The sequence below is a fragment of the Homo sapiens genome, chromosome 16, assembly GCF_000001405.40.
Source record: "Homo sapiens chromosome 16, GRCh38.p14 Primary Assembly".
Taxonomy (NCBI): domain Eukaryota; kingdom Metazoa; phylum Chordata; class Mammalia; order Primates; family Hominidae; genus Homo; species Homo sapiens.
Genome location: NC_000016.10, coordinates 57,244,371 through 57,257,208, shown reverse-complemented (window position 1 = coordinate 57,257,208; position 12,838 = coordinate 57,244,371). Strand labels below are relative to the sequence as shown.

The 12,838-nt window shown below is 46.8% G+C and overlaps 2 protein-coding genes and 1 long non-coding RNA gene across 4 annotated transcripts in view, besides 2 other annotated features; 2 read left to right on the top strand and 1 right to left on the bottom strand.

The window, feature by feature from the left end:
* The window catches only part of PLLP (plasmolipin), a 28,576-nt gene extending 27,464 nt beyond the window's left edge, over positions 1-1,112 (top strand). The window contains exon 4 of the mRNA NM_015993.3: positions 180-1,112. Coding sequence (NP_057077.1) covers positions 180-296 — 117 coding nt within the window. The 3' untranslated portion in view covers positions 297-1,112. The remainder of the gene's footprint in view (positions 1-179) is intronic.
* Positions 3,574-11,950, bottom strand: ARL2BP (ARF like GTPase 2 binding protein). Of its 2 annotated transcripts, none has more exons than NM_012106.4 (6): positions 11,804-11,950; positions 11,068-11,129; positions 8,566-8,672; positions 7,357-7,442; positions 6,702-6,798; positions 3,574-5,043 (listed from the first exon to the last, which is right to left on the bottom strand). In NM_012106.4, exons 1-6 carry the CDS (start codon positions 11,839-11,841, stop codon positions 4,942-4,944), a joined length of 492 nt encoding a protein of 163 aa, NP_036238.1. In that variant the 5' UTR covers positions 11,842-11,950; the 3' UTR covers positions 3,574-4,941. The 2 variants fall into 2 exon arrangements, with proteins under 2 accessions (NP_036238.1, XP_047289839.1); XM_047433883.1 differs by lacking the exon at positions 11,804-11,950 and adding an exon at positions 11,398-11,416.
* Positions 5,417-11,394, top strand: LOC124903697 (uncharacterized). The gene is made up of 2 exons (XR_007065082.1): positions 5,417-5,505; positions 7,238-11,394. It is a non-coding gene; the product is annotated as an uncharacterized LOC124903697 (long non-coding RNA).
* Positions 11,552-11,761: a silencer, noted in NCBI's record as "silent region_7526". NCBI's record gives its function as "represses an Ori minimal core promoter by ATAC-STARR-seq in GM12878 lymphoblastoid cells {active_cell/tissue: GM12878}" and the evidence as "EXISTENCE:reporter gene assay evidence [ECO:0000049][PMID:35858748]".
* Positions 11,852-12,231: a silencer, noted in NCBI's record as "silent region_7525". NCBI's record gives its function as "represses an Ori minimal core promoter by ATAC-STARR-seq in GM12878 lymphoblastoid cells {active_cell/tissue: GM12878}" and the evidence as "EXISTENCE:reporter gene assay evidence [ECO:0000049][PMID:35858748]".

Here is a 12,838-nt window from a genome sequence, read left to right as displayed (position 1 = left end):
ATGTTGGTATCCCAGGACCCTGGTGCTCATCAGCCCCATGATAAACAGCTGTGAAATGCATCTGGCTAAGTGTGAGATGGTGCGGCTGCCACAACCCCTCCTGCCTGGCCTGAGATCTGGTTGGAGCTTGTGTCACTGTCACCCTCTCGGTCCTTAAGCCCTTCTCACCTCTCTTTCAGTTCTTTGCGTGTTTGGTGATGATCGCCTATGGAGTGAGTGCCTTCTTCAGCTACCAGGCCTGGCGAGGAGTAGGCAGCAATGCGGCCACCAGTCAGATGGCTGGCGGCTATGCCTAAACCACCTGTGCCACGGCCCCCTCTGGGGCTGAAGCCGCCGCTGGGTCACAGAGCAGGGTCACCCTGCAAGCCTGAAGCTGGGGAGCCCTGCGTGGAGTCAGCCCAACAGGGACTGCATTTGCTCCTCTCTGCCCGTCAGACATAAGCTCTCACAGCGCTAAGGAAGCAGGCCCAGGCTGGCAGGCATCTCGGCTTGCAGGAGGCCAACTGCTGAGACCTCTTCTCCATCCCCCTTATTCAGTGGAAGATGACGGGGGATCTGAGGCTGTGTCTCTGCCTTGTCTTTAGAGGACTTCAGCGTCCAAGACTGGGGCCCACCCTTCTCACCAGCACTAAATGCACTAACAAGGACTCCAGACCTGCAGCCCCAGACCCGCCGTAGTATAAGCCTAACAAGCAACACGTAGCACCTTAGTCTTTGTTCCAGGAGAGCTGAGCAAGCTGGTGAAACCACTCTCCTTCCTTTAAACACCGTTTCAACCAACCTCTCCCTGGAGCCAACCTGTAAAAAGTGGGTTGATTGCTGACAGCATGGTCTTCCCTCCCTGCATTTCAGACATACCAGTTACTGAAAGCAAATCAGTTTTAAGTGATTTCTCAGTGCTGAAAAGCCTGTCCAGGTTTCCTTCCCTTTCCCAAGCCTCTCTCTGTAATACTCCCTTTGGGCGAAGCTAACATCGGTGCCTCCCCGACCTTGCTGACTAGGCACATGGGACGCAAAGGAGGGAGGGAAGCAAGGCCTTGCCTGGCGAGTTGTCATGTGGTTGGTGGTGACTGTTTTATTTTTTTTAATAAAAATAAAGATGAGAGAAATTATTTGGACAAGATGTTGGCAAATCACTTTTACAGGTGCTTGTAACCTCCAGGAGACCTCAGCTTGACTGTAGAAGATGCCTGCTGTAGGGCAGTTCACGTTCTGGAGTCGTTCAGCACCACCTGCGAACTCTTTGACCGGAGGAAGGCTGCCTATACTTCCTGCTTGCTGGGTCTGGAACAGTCCTGGTTTATGCTGTTTGTGCTGGCATAAATAGAATAGCACGGCCTTTTATTCTCACAAGTGACTCAGTTTGACAATAACTTAGTCACCCTTGCTTTGGGCAGGTTAGGTGAGCTTACTGAATCAAAGATTTCAACAATATCATCTACCTTGAAAGTCTGTGAAGCTTGGAGGTCATATAATCAAGGTGGCTGGCCATGCTGCCTGCTCAGAGCTGGTAGAGACAGCAGAGGAAAGCAGCTGAGTACTCCTGAGCTTATTTTTCCAACACCACAGAACAACGTTCTCTGAACAATAAGGTAAAAGCATTTCTAGGTACCCTCTGTACCCTTTTGTTATTTTTTATTTTTATTTTTTGGAGACCGAGTCTTGCTCTAGTGCCCAGGCTGGAGTGCAATGGCGCAATCTTGGCTCACTGCAATCTCCGCCTTCTGGGTTCAAGCAATTCTCCTGCCTCAGCCTCCTGAGTAGCTGAGACTACAGGTGAGCGCCACCACGCCCAGCTGATTTTTTGTATTTTTAGTAGAGATGGGGTTTCACCATGTTAGCCAGGATGGTCTTGATCTCCTGACTTCATGATCCGCCTGCCTTAGCCTCCCAAAGTGCTGGGATTACAGGTGTGAGCCACCACACCTGGCCGATTTTTTTTTTTTTTAAGAGACAGGGTCTTGCTCTCTTGCCCAGGTTGGAGTACAGTGCCACAACTACAGCTCACTGCAGCCTTGACTGCCCAGGCTCAAGCAATCCTCCCACCTCAGCTTCCTCAGTAGCTTGGACTACAAGTGCAGGCCACCATGCCCAGCTAATTTTTGTTTTTTTTTTTTTTTGAGATGGAGTCTCACTTTGTCACCCAGGCTGGACTGCAGTGGCGTGATCTCGGCTCACTGCAACCTCTGCCTCCCAGATTCAAGCGATTCTCCTGCCTCAGCCTCCCGAGTAACGGACTACAGGTGCGTGCCACCATGCCTGGCTAATGTTTTGTATTTTTAGTAGAGACGGGGTTTCACCGTGTTAGCCAGGATGGTCTCGATCTCCTGACCTCGTGATCCGCCCGTCTCGGCCTCCCAAAGTGCTGGGATTACCAGCGTGAGCCACTGTGCCCGGCTGATTTTTAAATTTTTTGTAGACATTGGGTCTCGCTATATTGCTTAGGCTGGTCTTAAACTCCCAGCTTCAAGTGATCCTCCCATCTCAGCCTCCCAAAGCGCTGAGATTATCGGCATGAACCACCACACTTGGCCCTGGTATAAATATTAATAGCATCACTTTTTACTCTAAAGTCTCGGAGTTTGAATAATAAATTAGTCCTTCCAGGAGTAAGTTATAAGAGTTTGGTTTTAAGGAAGGGCAATACACTTAAATGTAAAACAAAATCCCAGGCAAGTTAGAGAGCTCACCCCTCTTATGTTTCCAACATGAATCAAAAGCCTGTTTCAGGGGGGACATTAAAGGCATTCAGTCAATGCTAAGGCTCAGCAGTTTGTGTGACTACTGCTTCCCACTGGGGAGGAGTCCTAAGCAAGAGGACTGGGGCTTCCTCACCCCAGGGCAGGTGGGAGCCCCATCAAAGGTGGCACCTGACATCACAGTCTAAGTGTCTGAGGATGGAGAGACAGGCTGCTAGTTTATTTTAAAAGAAATCAGAATGTCTACTTATAATATTAAGTGACAACAGACTTGCCTCCTTTTTGCTGAGCAGAAAGGGTGAAAAAACCAGCCAGGCATGGTGGCTCACACCTGTGATCCCAGCACTTTGGGAGGTGGGTGATCACCTGAAGTCAGGAGTTCAAGACCAGCCTGACCAACATGGTGAAACCCTGTCTCTACTAAAAATACAAAAATTAGCTGGGCGTGTTTGTGGACACCTATAATCCCGGCTGCTTGGGAGGCTGAGGCAGCAGAATCACTGGAACTCGGGAGGTGGAGGTTGCAGTGTGCCGAGATCGTGCCATTGCACTCCAGCCTGGGCAACAAAAGCAAAACTCCATTCCCAAAAAAAAAAGAAAAAAAAAAGGGTGAAAAACCAATTTGCCTTTATCATCGTTTTTTCATCATTTAATCTCTGGACTTGTCCACTGGCCTTTTCTCAAGTAGGCAGGCTGGTCCACAGGTCTTAGCAAGTGCTCCCAGCATGCCTGGGCTGTGGTGGACCTCCCATTTATAGACAAAGCAAGGGAAAGCAAGCCCAGGAGAGGTGGCATTTAAAAAAAAAAAAAAAAGACCAAAGCAATAATTAATAACCTTATGGCAGTGGCTACATTAAAGAAAGAATACAACTCATTGAGAATGGTGGTTCTTGCGAAACACCTGAAGTTTTACTCATGGTACAAAAGTATTTAATAAGTGACACATCAGTACAGAAACACAGAGCTTGTAGCTTGTCCTTTAAAACCAGAATGGCCAAGTGAAAAGTCAGTACAGATTCTTATTTTTACTATTAAAAAAAAAAAATCAAAGGGACACACTGGGAATTGAACTACTATGCTTTTTCTTCGTTCTAGAGATGACATATATGTTTTCTGATAAGTAATCTACCACACATTGCACTAAACCAAAGCATACAAACAGCCAGTAAAGCTGTGCTCTACCTGCTACTCATGCTGGGCTGGACAGTGGAACACCATCTTGGTAGGAGAGATTTTGACAGGAAGAAACTGCAGAGTCCCTACCTAACCCAGAGAACCTTACAAACTGGTTTATACACAAAGGATTTTCAGCAAACATGCAAACACACTAACATGCTATAGGAATATGTTTTAGTCTATTTCTAGCACACAGCATACATTCATAGGTGCCCAGTAAAATAGGAATGAATGTCAATGTAGAAAGCATTTTTGCCTTCACAGTACTAACAAACACCTAAAAAGCACACAGCATATAATACTTTGATCTTTAAGTGGATAATCATGGAAGTTCCAAGATCACATCCACTAGGTTAGCCTGAGTATTCATCTATAAAAATATTTTTTTTTTCAAAAATAATGCTTAAAAGAGACTTCTAGAAACAGTGGGACTACATCAGGACCAGAAGACAGTGACACAAGGACTGCAAATGTTAAGACTAGGAGTAGCTTTTCACATGGAGCTTTTATGTAGAGGACGTCTCCTTCTGTTGATTCCTACAGCCGAGACAAGATGTGATCACAGGAGACTCCAAAATCTCAAACTGGGCTTGAGTAACACCCTAGATAAACATCAGGAACCCCACTGAGGCTGAAGTACTGAAACTGTGGCCCATGTGAAAAAGAGGTGCAAGTGCACAAAGATTCATGCAGAGCCTGCTGGAACAGAGGGTGGTGGCGGCGGGTTAGTCCACACTTACACACCAGCAGGTATGCTGGGGAAGGGCCCCCCAGGTGGAGTGCCTGACATAGGGCTCGCTCCAGAGGCGTCTGACTCAGAAGCTCCTGAGAGAGGTGTCTACTTGAGGTGGGGAGGAGTACTATGGTTAATGAATACAAGAAGGTGTTTCAGGATAAATAGGTCCAGGAGGGTTAGGTCATTTTGGTTTTGACCTATTAATACTTAACATAAATGAAGAGTTACATAACAGAGTCAGTCTTTCCAAGATGTGTTCTGTCATCATGAGCTGAGCCTATTGGGCTGGTGACATCCAGAATGATCCCATTCATTGGCTGGAGGTAGGACCTAGTGCCGCAGATTGTTCTGGGAAGCTGGCAGAGAAGATGATTTGCACAATGAAGTCACCACTAAGCCACTGCTTAAGTCCAGTCCTCGGCCTTCTTTTTCCTATATGAGAAAACAACCAAAGGAAGGACTAGAAAGAGCCCTGGCTTGGAATCTTGCCTCTGACATGGGGAAGGCAGAGCTGAAGGTGGGAACGTGGACCTCCAGAGTACATAGGAAGGGAACACAGGTTATTGGTTATTCTGCATTTCTGCTCAATACTGGCCTGCCCTAGTCTTAATTTTTTTTAATATTATTTTTAAAGAGGTAGGGTCTTGCTCTGTCACCCAGGCTGGAGTATAGTGGCTTGATCACAGCTAACTGCTGCCTGGAATTCCTGGGCTCAAGTGGTCCTCCTGCCTCAGCCTCCTGAGTAGCTAGGACTACAGGTGTGCACCACTACAGCTGACTAACTTTTTTATTTTTATTTTTGTAGAGACAGGGTCTTGATATGTCACTTAGGCTGGTCTTGAACTCCTGGGCTCAAGTGATTCTCCTGCCTTGGCCTCCCAAAGCGCTGGAATTGTAAGTATGAGCCACTGTGTCCAGCCTGGCCCTGGTCATTCTTAAAATGCACTCTTAAAATGTACCTCCCTTCACTGGAAAACATTTTTCTTTCTTTCTTTTTTTTTTTTTTTGAGATAGGGGTCTTGCTATGTTGCCCAGGCTGGAGTGCAGTGGCTATTCACAGGCACCACTGCTGTGTAATACAGCCCCAAACTCCTAGGCTCAAGTGATTCTCCTGCCTCAGCCTTCGAAGTAGCTGGGACTACAGGCATGCACAACCACACCCAACACCATTTCTTTTTCTTTTCTTTTTTTTTTTTTGACACAGGGTCTGACTCTGTCACCCAGGCTGGACTGTAGCAGTACAATCACAGCTCACAGCAATCTCAACCTTCTGGGCTCAAGCGGTCCTCCCACCCAGCCCCCAAAGTAGCTGACTGGGACTACAGATGCACACCAGCACACCAAGCTAATTTTTGTATTTTTCATAGAGACAGGGTTTTGCCATGTTGCCTTGGCTGGTCTCAAACTCCTGAGCTCAAGCCATCTGCCTGCCTCGGCCTCCCAAAGTGCTGGGATTATAGGTGTGAGTTACCATGCCCAGTCTCCTATTTTTCTTATAAAGAGCTTGCATTATATGAAAAGCAAGGCAGGGCCAGGTGCGGTGGCTCACGCCTGTAATCCCAACACTTTGGGAGGCCGAGGCGGACCATGCTTCAGGAGTTTGAGACCAGCCTGGCCAACATGGTGAAACCCTGTCTCTACTAAAAATACAAGAATTAGCTGGGCGTGGTGGCAGGTGCCTGTAGTATCAGCTACTCGGGAGGCTGAGGCAGGAGTATTGCTTGAACCTGGAAGGCAGAGGTTCCAGTGAGCCAAGATGGTGCCACTGCACTCCAGCCTGGGTGACAAGAGCAAAACTCTGTCTCAAAAAAAAAAATAAATAAAAGAAAGGCAAGGCAGAATGAGACCTGAGACCTGCTTTTTCGGTTTTGTCCTTCTGATTAGGAACTCTAAGTTGGTACCTGGGCTTGTTTCATGAAAACATGAGAAGGTCCCAGCCACAACAGAATAGCAGCTCACTCTTCTGATGCCTCATCGGCCAGTTTGAAGGGAGAATGATGGGGGAAGCGTGGGAGGTTCATGTTCGGTATTTCTACCTGGAATTTTCTAAGTGGCTCAAAGTGGCTAAATAAATAGGAGTAGTAACTTACTGCTCTGTAGTCCAAAAACATTTCTTTAAAAGCCAGAAAATCTGTGAAGGTGAGCAGCATGTCGAATATGTCACCAGCCACTTCATCCTTATGGTGCCTGCAAACGGAACAGATGGCTGTTTCGTGAATGAATGATGAGACAGTCCTCAAGATTGCTTTCGTTTTTCTTTCCACCACCCCAGCCCCACCCCCCGCATTATTTTTGTTTTGTTTTTTTAGAGACTGGGTCTTGCTCTGTCACCCAGGCAGGAGTGCAGGGGTGCAATTATAGCTCACTGTAGCCTTGAACTGCTGGGCTCAAGGGATTCTCCAGCCTCAGCCTCCTGAGTAGCTAGGCCCACAGGTATGCAACACCACACCTGACTAATTTATTTTTTGTAGGGTCGGGGCCTCACTATGTCACCCAGGCTGGTCTTGAACTCCTGGGCTCAAGTGATCCTCCTCCCTTGGCCTCCCAAAGCACTGAGAACACAAGCGTGAGCCAATGCCTGATCTTTTCAAGATTTCATTAAAAGGTTTGAGGGCTTCCTCCATAGGACCTAACCACCAACGGCATGCACAGGAAAACAAACAAGGAGCGTCTTTTGGTCAGCCTAGGGAAGGAAGAAAGTGAGAAAACAAAACAAAACACAAAAATCAGTCAAGCTCAACTCACTGTAATGTTGTGGTGAAGGCTGCCATGTTGAACTCAGGAATCCGCTGCAGCAGCTGTTCTTCAATGTATTTTTCTACCAAAGAAATCTGCAACAGTGGAAAGGATTTTGGTGAGACCATACTTTGGGAAAACAAGACTTCTTTTCAGAAAGCCTGCCCAGCCCTTTCTAAACATTTCCTGAGGTCTGTGTGCCACAATCTACACTGAGTGCCAAGGATACCAAAGAGGACCAAAACACAGCTCCTGTCCTGGAGAAGTACTCAGCCTGGTGTGGAAGAGAAGCCTTAGCTGATAATGGTGCTGTAACAGGGTGGATGCTCTGACACAGGTGGAGACAGTGAGTAGCACGGTACCCACACCCACAACCCAGTGCAGGATGCAGTAAGTGGGGGCTTTGCCTCCTGGGTAGAGGGCATCTGTGTAACAGAACATACGGACATGGAGGCAGTCACAGGTTCCTTCTGGGCAGGTTTGTTTATGCCATGCTTCTGTGTTAAGAAAATAAAGTCCTGGAGGCCAAAATGGATTCTTAGATGACAGAATCCCAGGGGGCTGTTAAGAGGCCTCAGGGTAAAGTGTAGAGACCCAAGGGTGACGAGCTGAGGTTCCTGGGTTCCAGTCTTGGTTTTTCCACCAAATAGTTAGTGATCTTGGTCTCAGTTTTCACTTTTACTTAATAGTCATGCATATATGACTGGATTATATAGAAGAAAGAAAGAGTATGTGAAAGCAGAAAGGTTTGTCAAAAGCATGCAAATGCAAGGTATGAAGAACTCATGTACTGTGATTAAAAGCAGGATTATGATAAGCCAAACGTCTTTTATTTATTATCTTTATTATTATCATTTTTTTTTTAGAGACAGAGATCTTGCTGTGTTGCCCAGGCTGGTCTCAAACTCCTAAGCTCAAGTGATTCTTCCACCTCAACCTCCCAAATAGCTGGCACTACAGGTGTGCTACCAAGCCCAGGTCAAACTTCTTTTAAATAAGAAGCTGATGAGTTAATCAAATATTTGCCTGAAAGCCTTTTGGAAAATAGCCCCAAAGGCTGTGCAGAGGAAAATGAACTTAAACCAGATGCTAATGAGGATTCCTGGAAGTGTACTGGTGGCATATTTTAAAAGGCAGCAAATTTCAATGTCTTTTGAATCTAAATTTAAATTTTTAAAAACTCTGACCTCCTGGTAGGAGACATAGAAATCTACTTACGTATTCATTAAAAATAGGTGTGTAGATGAGTTTATTCTCTTCTGTGTCTTCAAACTCCAGGTAGTACTTGTCCATGAAATTTCTCTGTAATAACTGGAACTCGTCATCTGAACCACAGTGGGGAAAATTTATTCTTTTTAATGGAGATTACCAACCATTATGATTTATAAGTAGGCAGGATCTATGTCAGCAGTACTGCTTTCTCAATGATCAGTCTCTGGAAGGAAAGCTGATGTTTTAAGGGGGTATTAAATGGGACCCTGATGTGGAAATAGCCCAATCCTCCTGTTTTCTTTTTCTTTCTTTCTTTTTTTTTTTTTTTTTTTTTTTTTGAGCTGGAGTTTCTCTTGTTGCCCAGGCTGGAGTGCAATGGTGCGATCTCGGTTCACTGCAACCTCCACCTCCAGGGTTCAAAAGATTCTACTGCCTTAGCCTCCTGAGTAGCTGGGATTACAGGTGTGTGCCACCTCGCCAGCCTAATTTTGTATTTTTAGTAGAGACAGGGTTTCATCATGTTGGCTAGGCTGATCTCGAACTCCCGACCTCAGGTGATCTGCCTGCCTCCGCCTCCCAAAGTGCTGGGATTACAGGTGTGAGCCACCGCACCCAGCCCTGTTTTCTTTTTAAATTGTGGTGAGATATACAATTTTTTTTTATCATTTTAATGTTTAAGCACACAGCTCAGTGGCTTTAAGTATGTTTACATTGTTGTGCAATGATCACCACCATCCTTCAGTCCATTTTAACCATATCCACACAGGGTGGCTTGGGAACTCCCTGACATTACTTTTCTGAAAAGGAATGAATTGGTTCTCTCTTATTTTGATATAACTTCCACAGCAGTTGTGGAAACAGTGTAGTGATTAAAATTATGGGGTCTGAAAGAGGCTAGCCCGTCTGGGTTCGAATCGCATCTCAGCTACTTACTAATTGTGTGACCTTGGGTAAGTTACTTAATTTCTCTAACCCCCATATAAACACATTTATCTGGAAAATAAGAATGGTTTATGGTAGTTATCATATAGGATTGGAAGTGGAATTTAGATGAGAATTCATGTAAATAGATTAGTTCATAGTGAACACTTAATAAATGATAGGGAATAGGGAATTTTTTTTTTTTAATTGAGACAGGGTTCTCCCTATGGTGCCTAGGCTGGTCTCGAACTCCTAGACTCAAGCAATCCACCTGCGCTGGCCTCCCAAAGTGTTGGGGTTATAGGTGTGAGCCACCGTACCCATCCCGGAATAAGGAATTTTAACAACTGAATAGATTATTTCTAAAAATAAAAGGAAAGTTTCAGAAAGGACCCAGACTTTGGGATAAATACCGTAGGCTCACAGAAGGCTCATTTTCCCATAGCATATAGGGTATAATAGGCAAGAGAACTGAATGGATTCTTCAGTATTCCCCAGAAATCCCCAAGTCCACATGGGAAACGAGCTTAATGATGAAACATCTATATTCAGGAGTTAAGGGCATGAACCTTTATACCTGAAGGTATAAAAACTTGGTCAGTAATTTTCATTCTAAATGGATTAAGCCATACAGCCAATAACACCAAATAACAGTGTTCTTTTCTCAATTCTCATAAAACTTAAAGTCAACAGAATTTTCTCAAATGTAAGTTTTCCCCTCCTACATACTTGTCTTAAACCTCTGGGGACTGTTACTGCTTCTCTGTTACTTAGCAGGTTTCATGGATGCCCAAATACATCCACAAGTAGGAACTCAAAACCTAGGAAAATACAGAACCAGCTGAAGCTTAATACCTTGTTTTCTTTATGGCCATGTGTGCTTATGGTTATGGTTTTATGTGTTTATTTTCATTTTTATTTTTTCCAGACGGAGTCTCGCTCTGTCGCCCAGGCTGGAGTGAAGTGGCACGATCTCGGATCACTGCAAGCTCCACCTCCCAGGTTCACGCCATTTTCCTGCCTCAGCCTCCTGAGTAGCTGGGACTACAGGCGCCCGCTACCACGCCCGGCTAATTTTTTTTGTATTTTTAGTAGAGACAGGGTTTCACCGTGTTAGCCAGGATGGTCTTGATCTCCTGACCTCGTGATCCGCCCACCTCGGCCTCCCAAAGTGCTGGGATTACAGGCGTTAGCCACCGCACCTGGCCTGGTTTTATGTGTTTTATGGCATGAAAATGTTAAAACTCAAAACTATCTAAAATTGAAATTGCTCTTACCCTACATAAGAAATAGAGTAGATCATTATTTCCTATAGTTTTGCGAAGAACGCCACACTGCTGGTGCCCTATTAGCCTGAGTCAGTCCCTTCCAGCCTCTGAATCTATGCTTATTAGATGTTTTCAGGAGTACTGGGCTGTTTGTTTCTAAGACAAACTGCAGTAAGCCTTTACTTAAGTATTACATTGTGCTACATTAAAAATTGCAGGCAGCTTGATGTTTTCTCTTTTTAAAATTAACTCTCCAAATTGATTTCAATGTCCTTAAAGAAACAAGCAAGTCCTTAAAAACAGTATCTTAAAAGCTTACCCATGATAATGTCCTCTAAATATCCAACCACAGCATCAAATTCTGCATCAGAGGCGGAGGAGCTGAAAAACATGCCTGGATTAGGTGCTATTTCAAATAATGCATTAAAAAAATGTTTTTAGTATGGACGTTTTCAAACATGCACAAGAGAAAAAAGAGTAGCAAAACGAACTTCCCATCACCCATCTTCAACGATTAAGAATGACTGACTGATCTAGTAAGTCCAAACAGAAGAAAACACACTCGGCACGTTTGTGACATGAACGTTCAATGTCATGACTCCACTTTAATAAAAACTTGTTCTCCAGGCTCTTAGCTATCACCCCATACCTGTCTGCTTGTGAGCATGAACCCGGCACGGGCGAAACACCTGCCGGGGGGGGTCATTTGGTCAGGAGTCCGGGAGGCGGGGGCCAGGGAGGGGTGGAGGGGCCTCGGGCGCTCAACCCCTCCAGGCTTTGCTGACAGCTGAGGGTTGGCGGCTGGGGATTGTGATGGAGGCGCTGATCAACGGTGACACCCGCCTCGCACTCCTGTCCTGCGGGGCCTGAAACCTGCAGCCTTAGTACTCTACAAAAGGAAGGCCTGGAGCTGGGACGGCGCCTTGGCGGCCCCCACCCTGCCCGGCCCGGCCCGGCCCGGCCCCTAAGGACACCTGTTTTATAGGGTCAGGCCCCGGGGCGAACGCCCGCTGCCTCCGGCCCCAAGTCGCCTGCGCCCTGGAGGAGCTACTCACAAAGACAGCGCAAAGCTCTCTCCTTCTAAGGCGTCCATCGCAGTCGCCCCGAGTAGGCTCCAACCCCGCCCGCGGCCCAACTCGCATGCAGGGCGCGGCCGCCCGGCGGGGTTAAGGCCTCTCAGCCAAGGCCGCGGCCAGCTCACTGCCAGGTCGGGTCAGCGCCTGCGCGCCAGGTCCGGCCTTGGATACCCTCTGCCGCCACGCGTCGGTCCGGCCTCTACGCCCGCCTGGCCCTCTGCGCGCGCCGCCGACGCCGCAGGTCCGGGCCTCGGTGACTGCCGGAGGGGCGCGGCGCCCCGCCTCCTGTCACCATGGCCACCGCAACCCCTTCCACCGCCTCACGGCCGGCCGGCATCCAATCACAGGCGAGCGTTACCGATGCCGGGGCGGGGCAAGACAGGGAGAGGAAGTCCCGGAAGGGAGTGCGGAGGGATGCGGCGCTTCGGCGAGCACCCGTTGTGTGGGAACTCCGTCTCAAGTCGCCCCCATTGTACGGATGAAGGAATCGAAGCCACGAGCCAGAATTTCCTCACTCGCAACTCGAGAATAAATTGCGCCTCCCTGAGTGTGGAGGATTAAATAAGTAGTTTAAGGCGTGTTTAAAGAGCGCTTGTAAGTTGCCAAGTCGCTGGAGAGCCAGTCCCTTATCCCTTGAACCAGGTGATGCTGACGTCTGATTTCAAGACAGTTCCTACCCCTCGTGGAAGGAAAGCCCCATCGCAAGAAGTCGATGTCCTGTAATTTACGTTATAATCTTCGCATCATAAAGATTACTCGGCAGTAATTGGTTTCTTGACTAATTATACAAGATGAGAATTGAAGAACTATTTTGAGCCACGCAATCAGGAATCAGATACCTTTCAGGAAAAGGCCTCTTCAAAACTGCCAAACTTTGAAAAAGGATTCGTTTGAGCTGATTTCTCTTGATTGGACAACTAAGCATTGTGTCTCTTTAGTTGCATGATACCTTATGGCCAAAGTGTGGTATATGACTAGAGGAACTAGAGGGGTTTAAGGTATGAACTGAGGGTC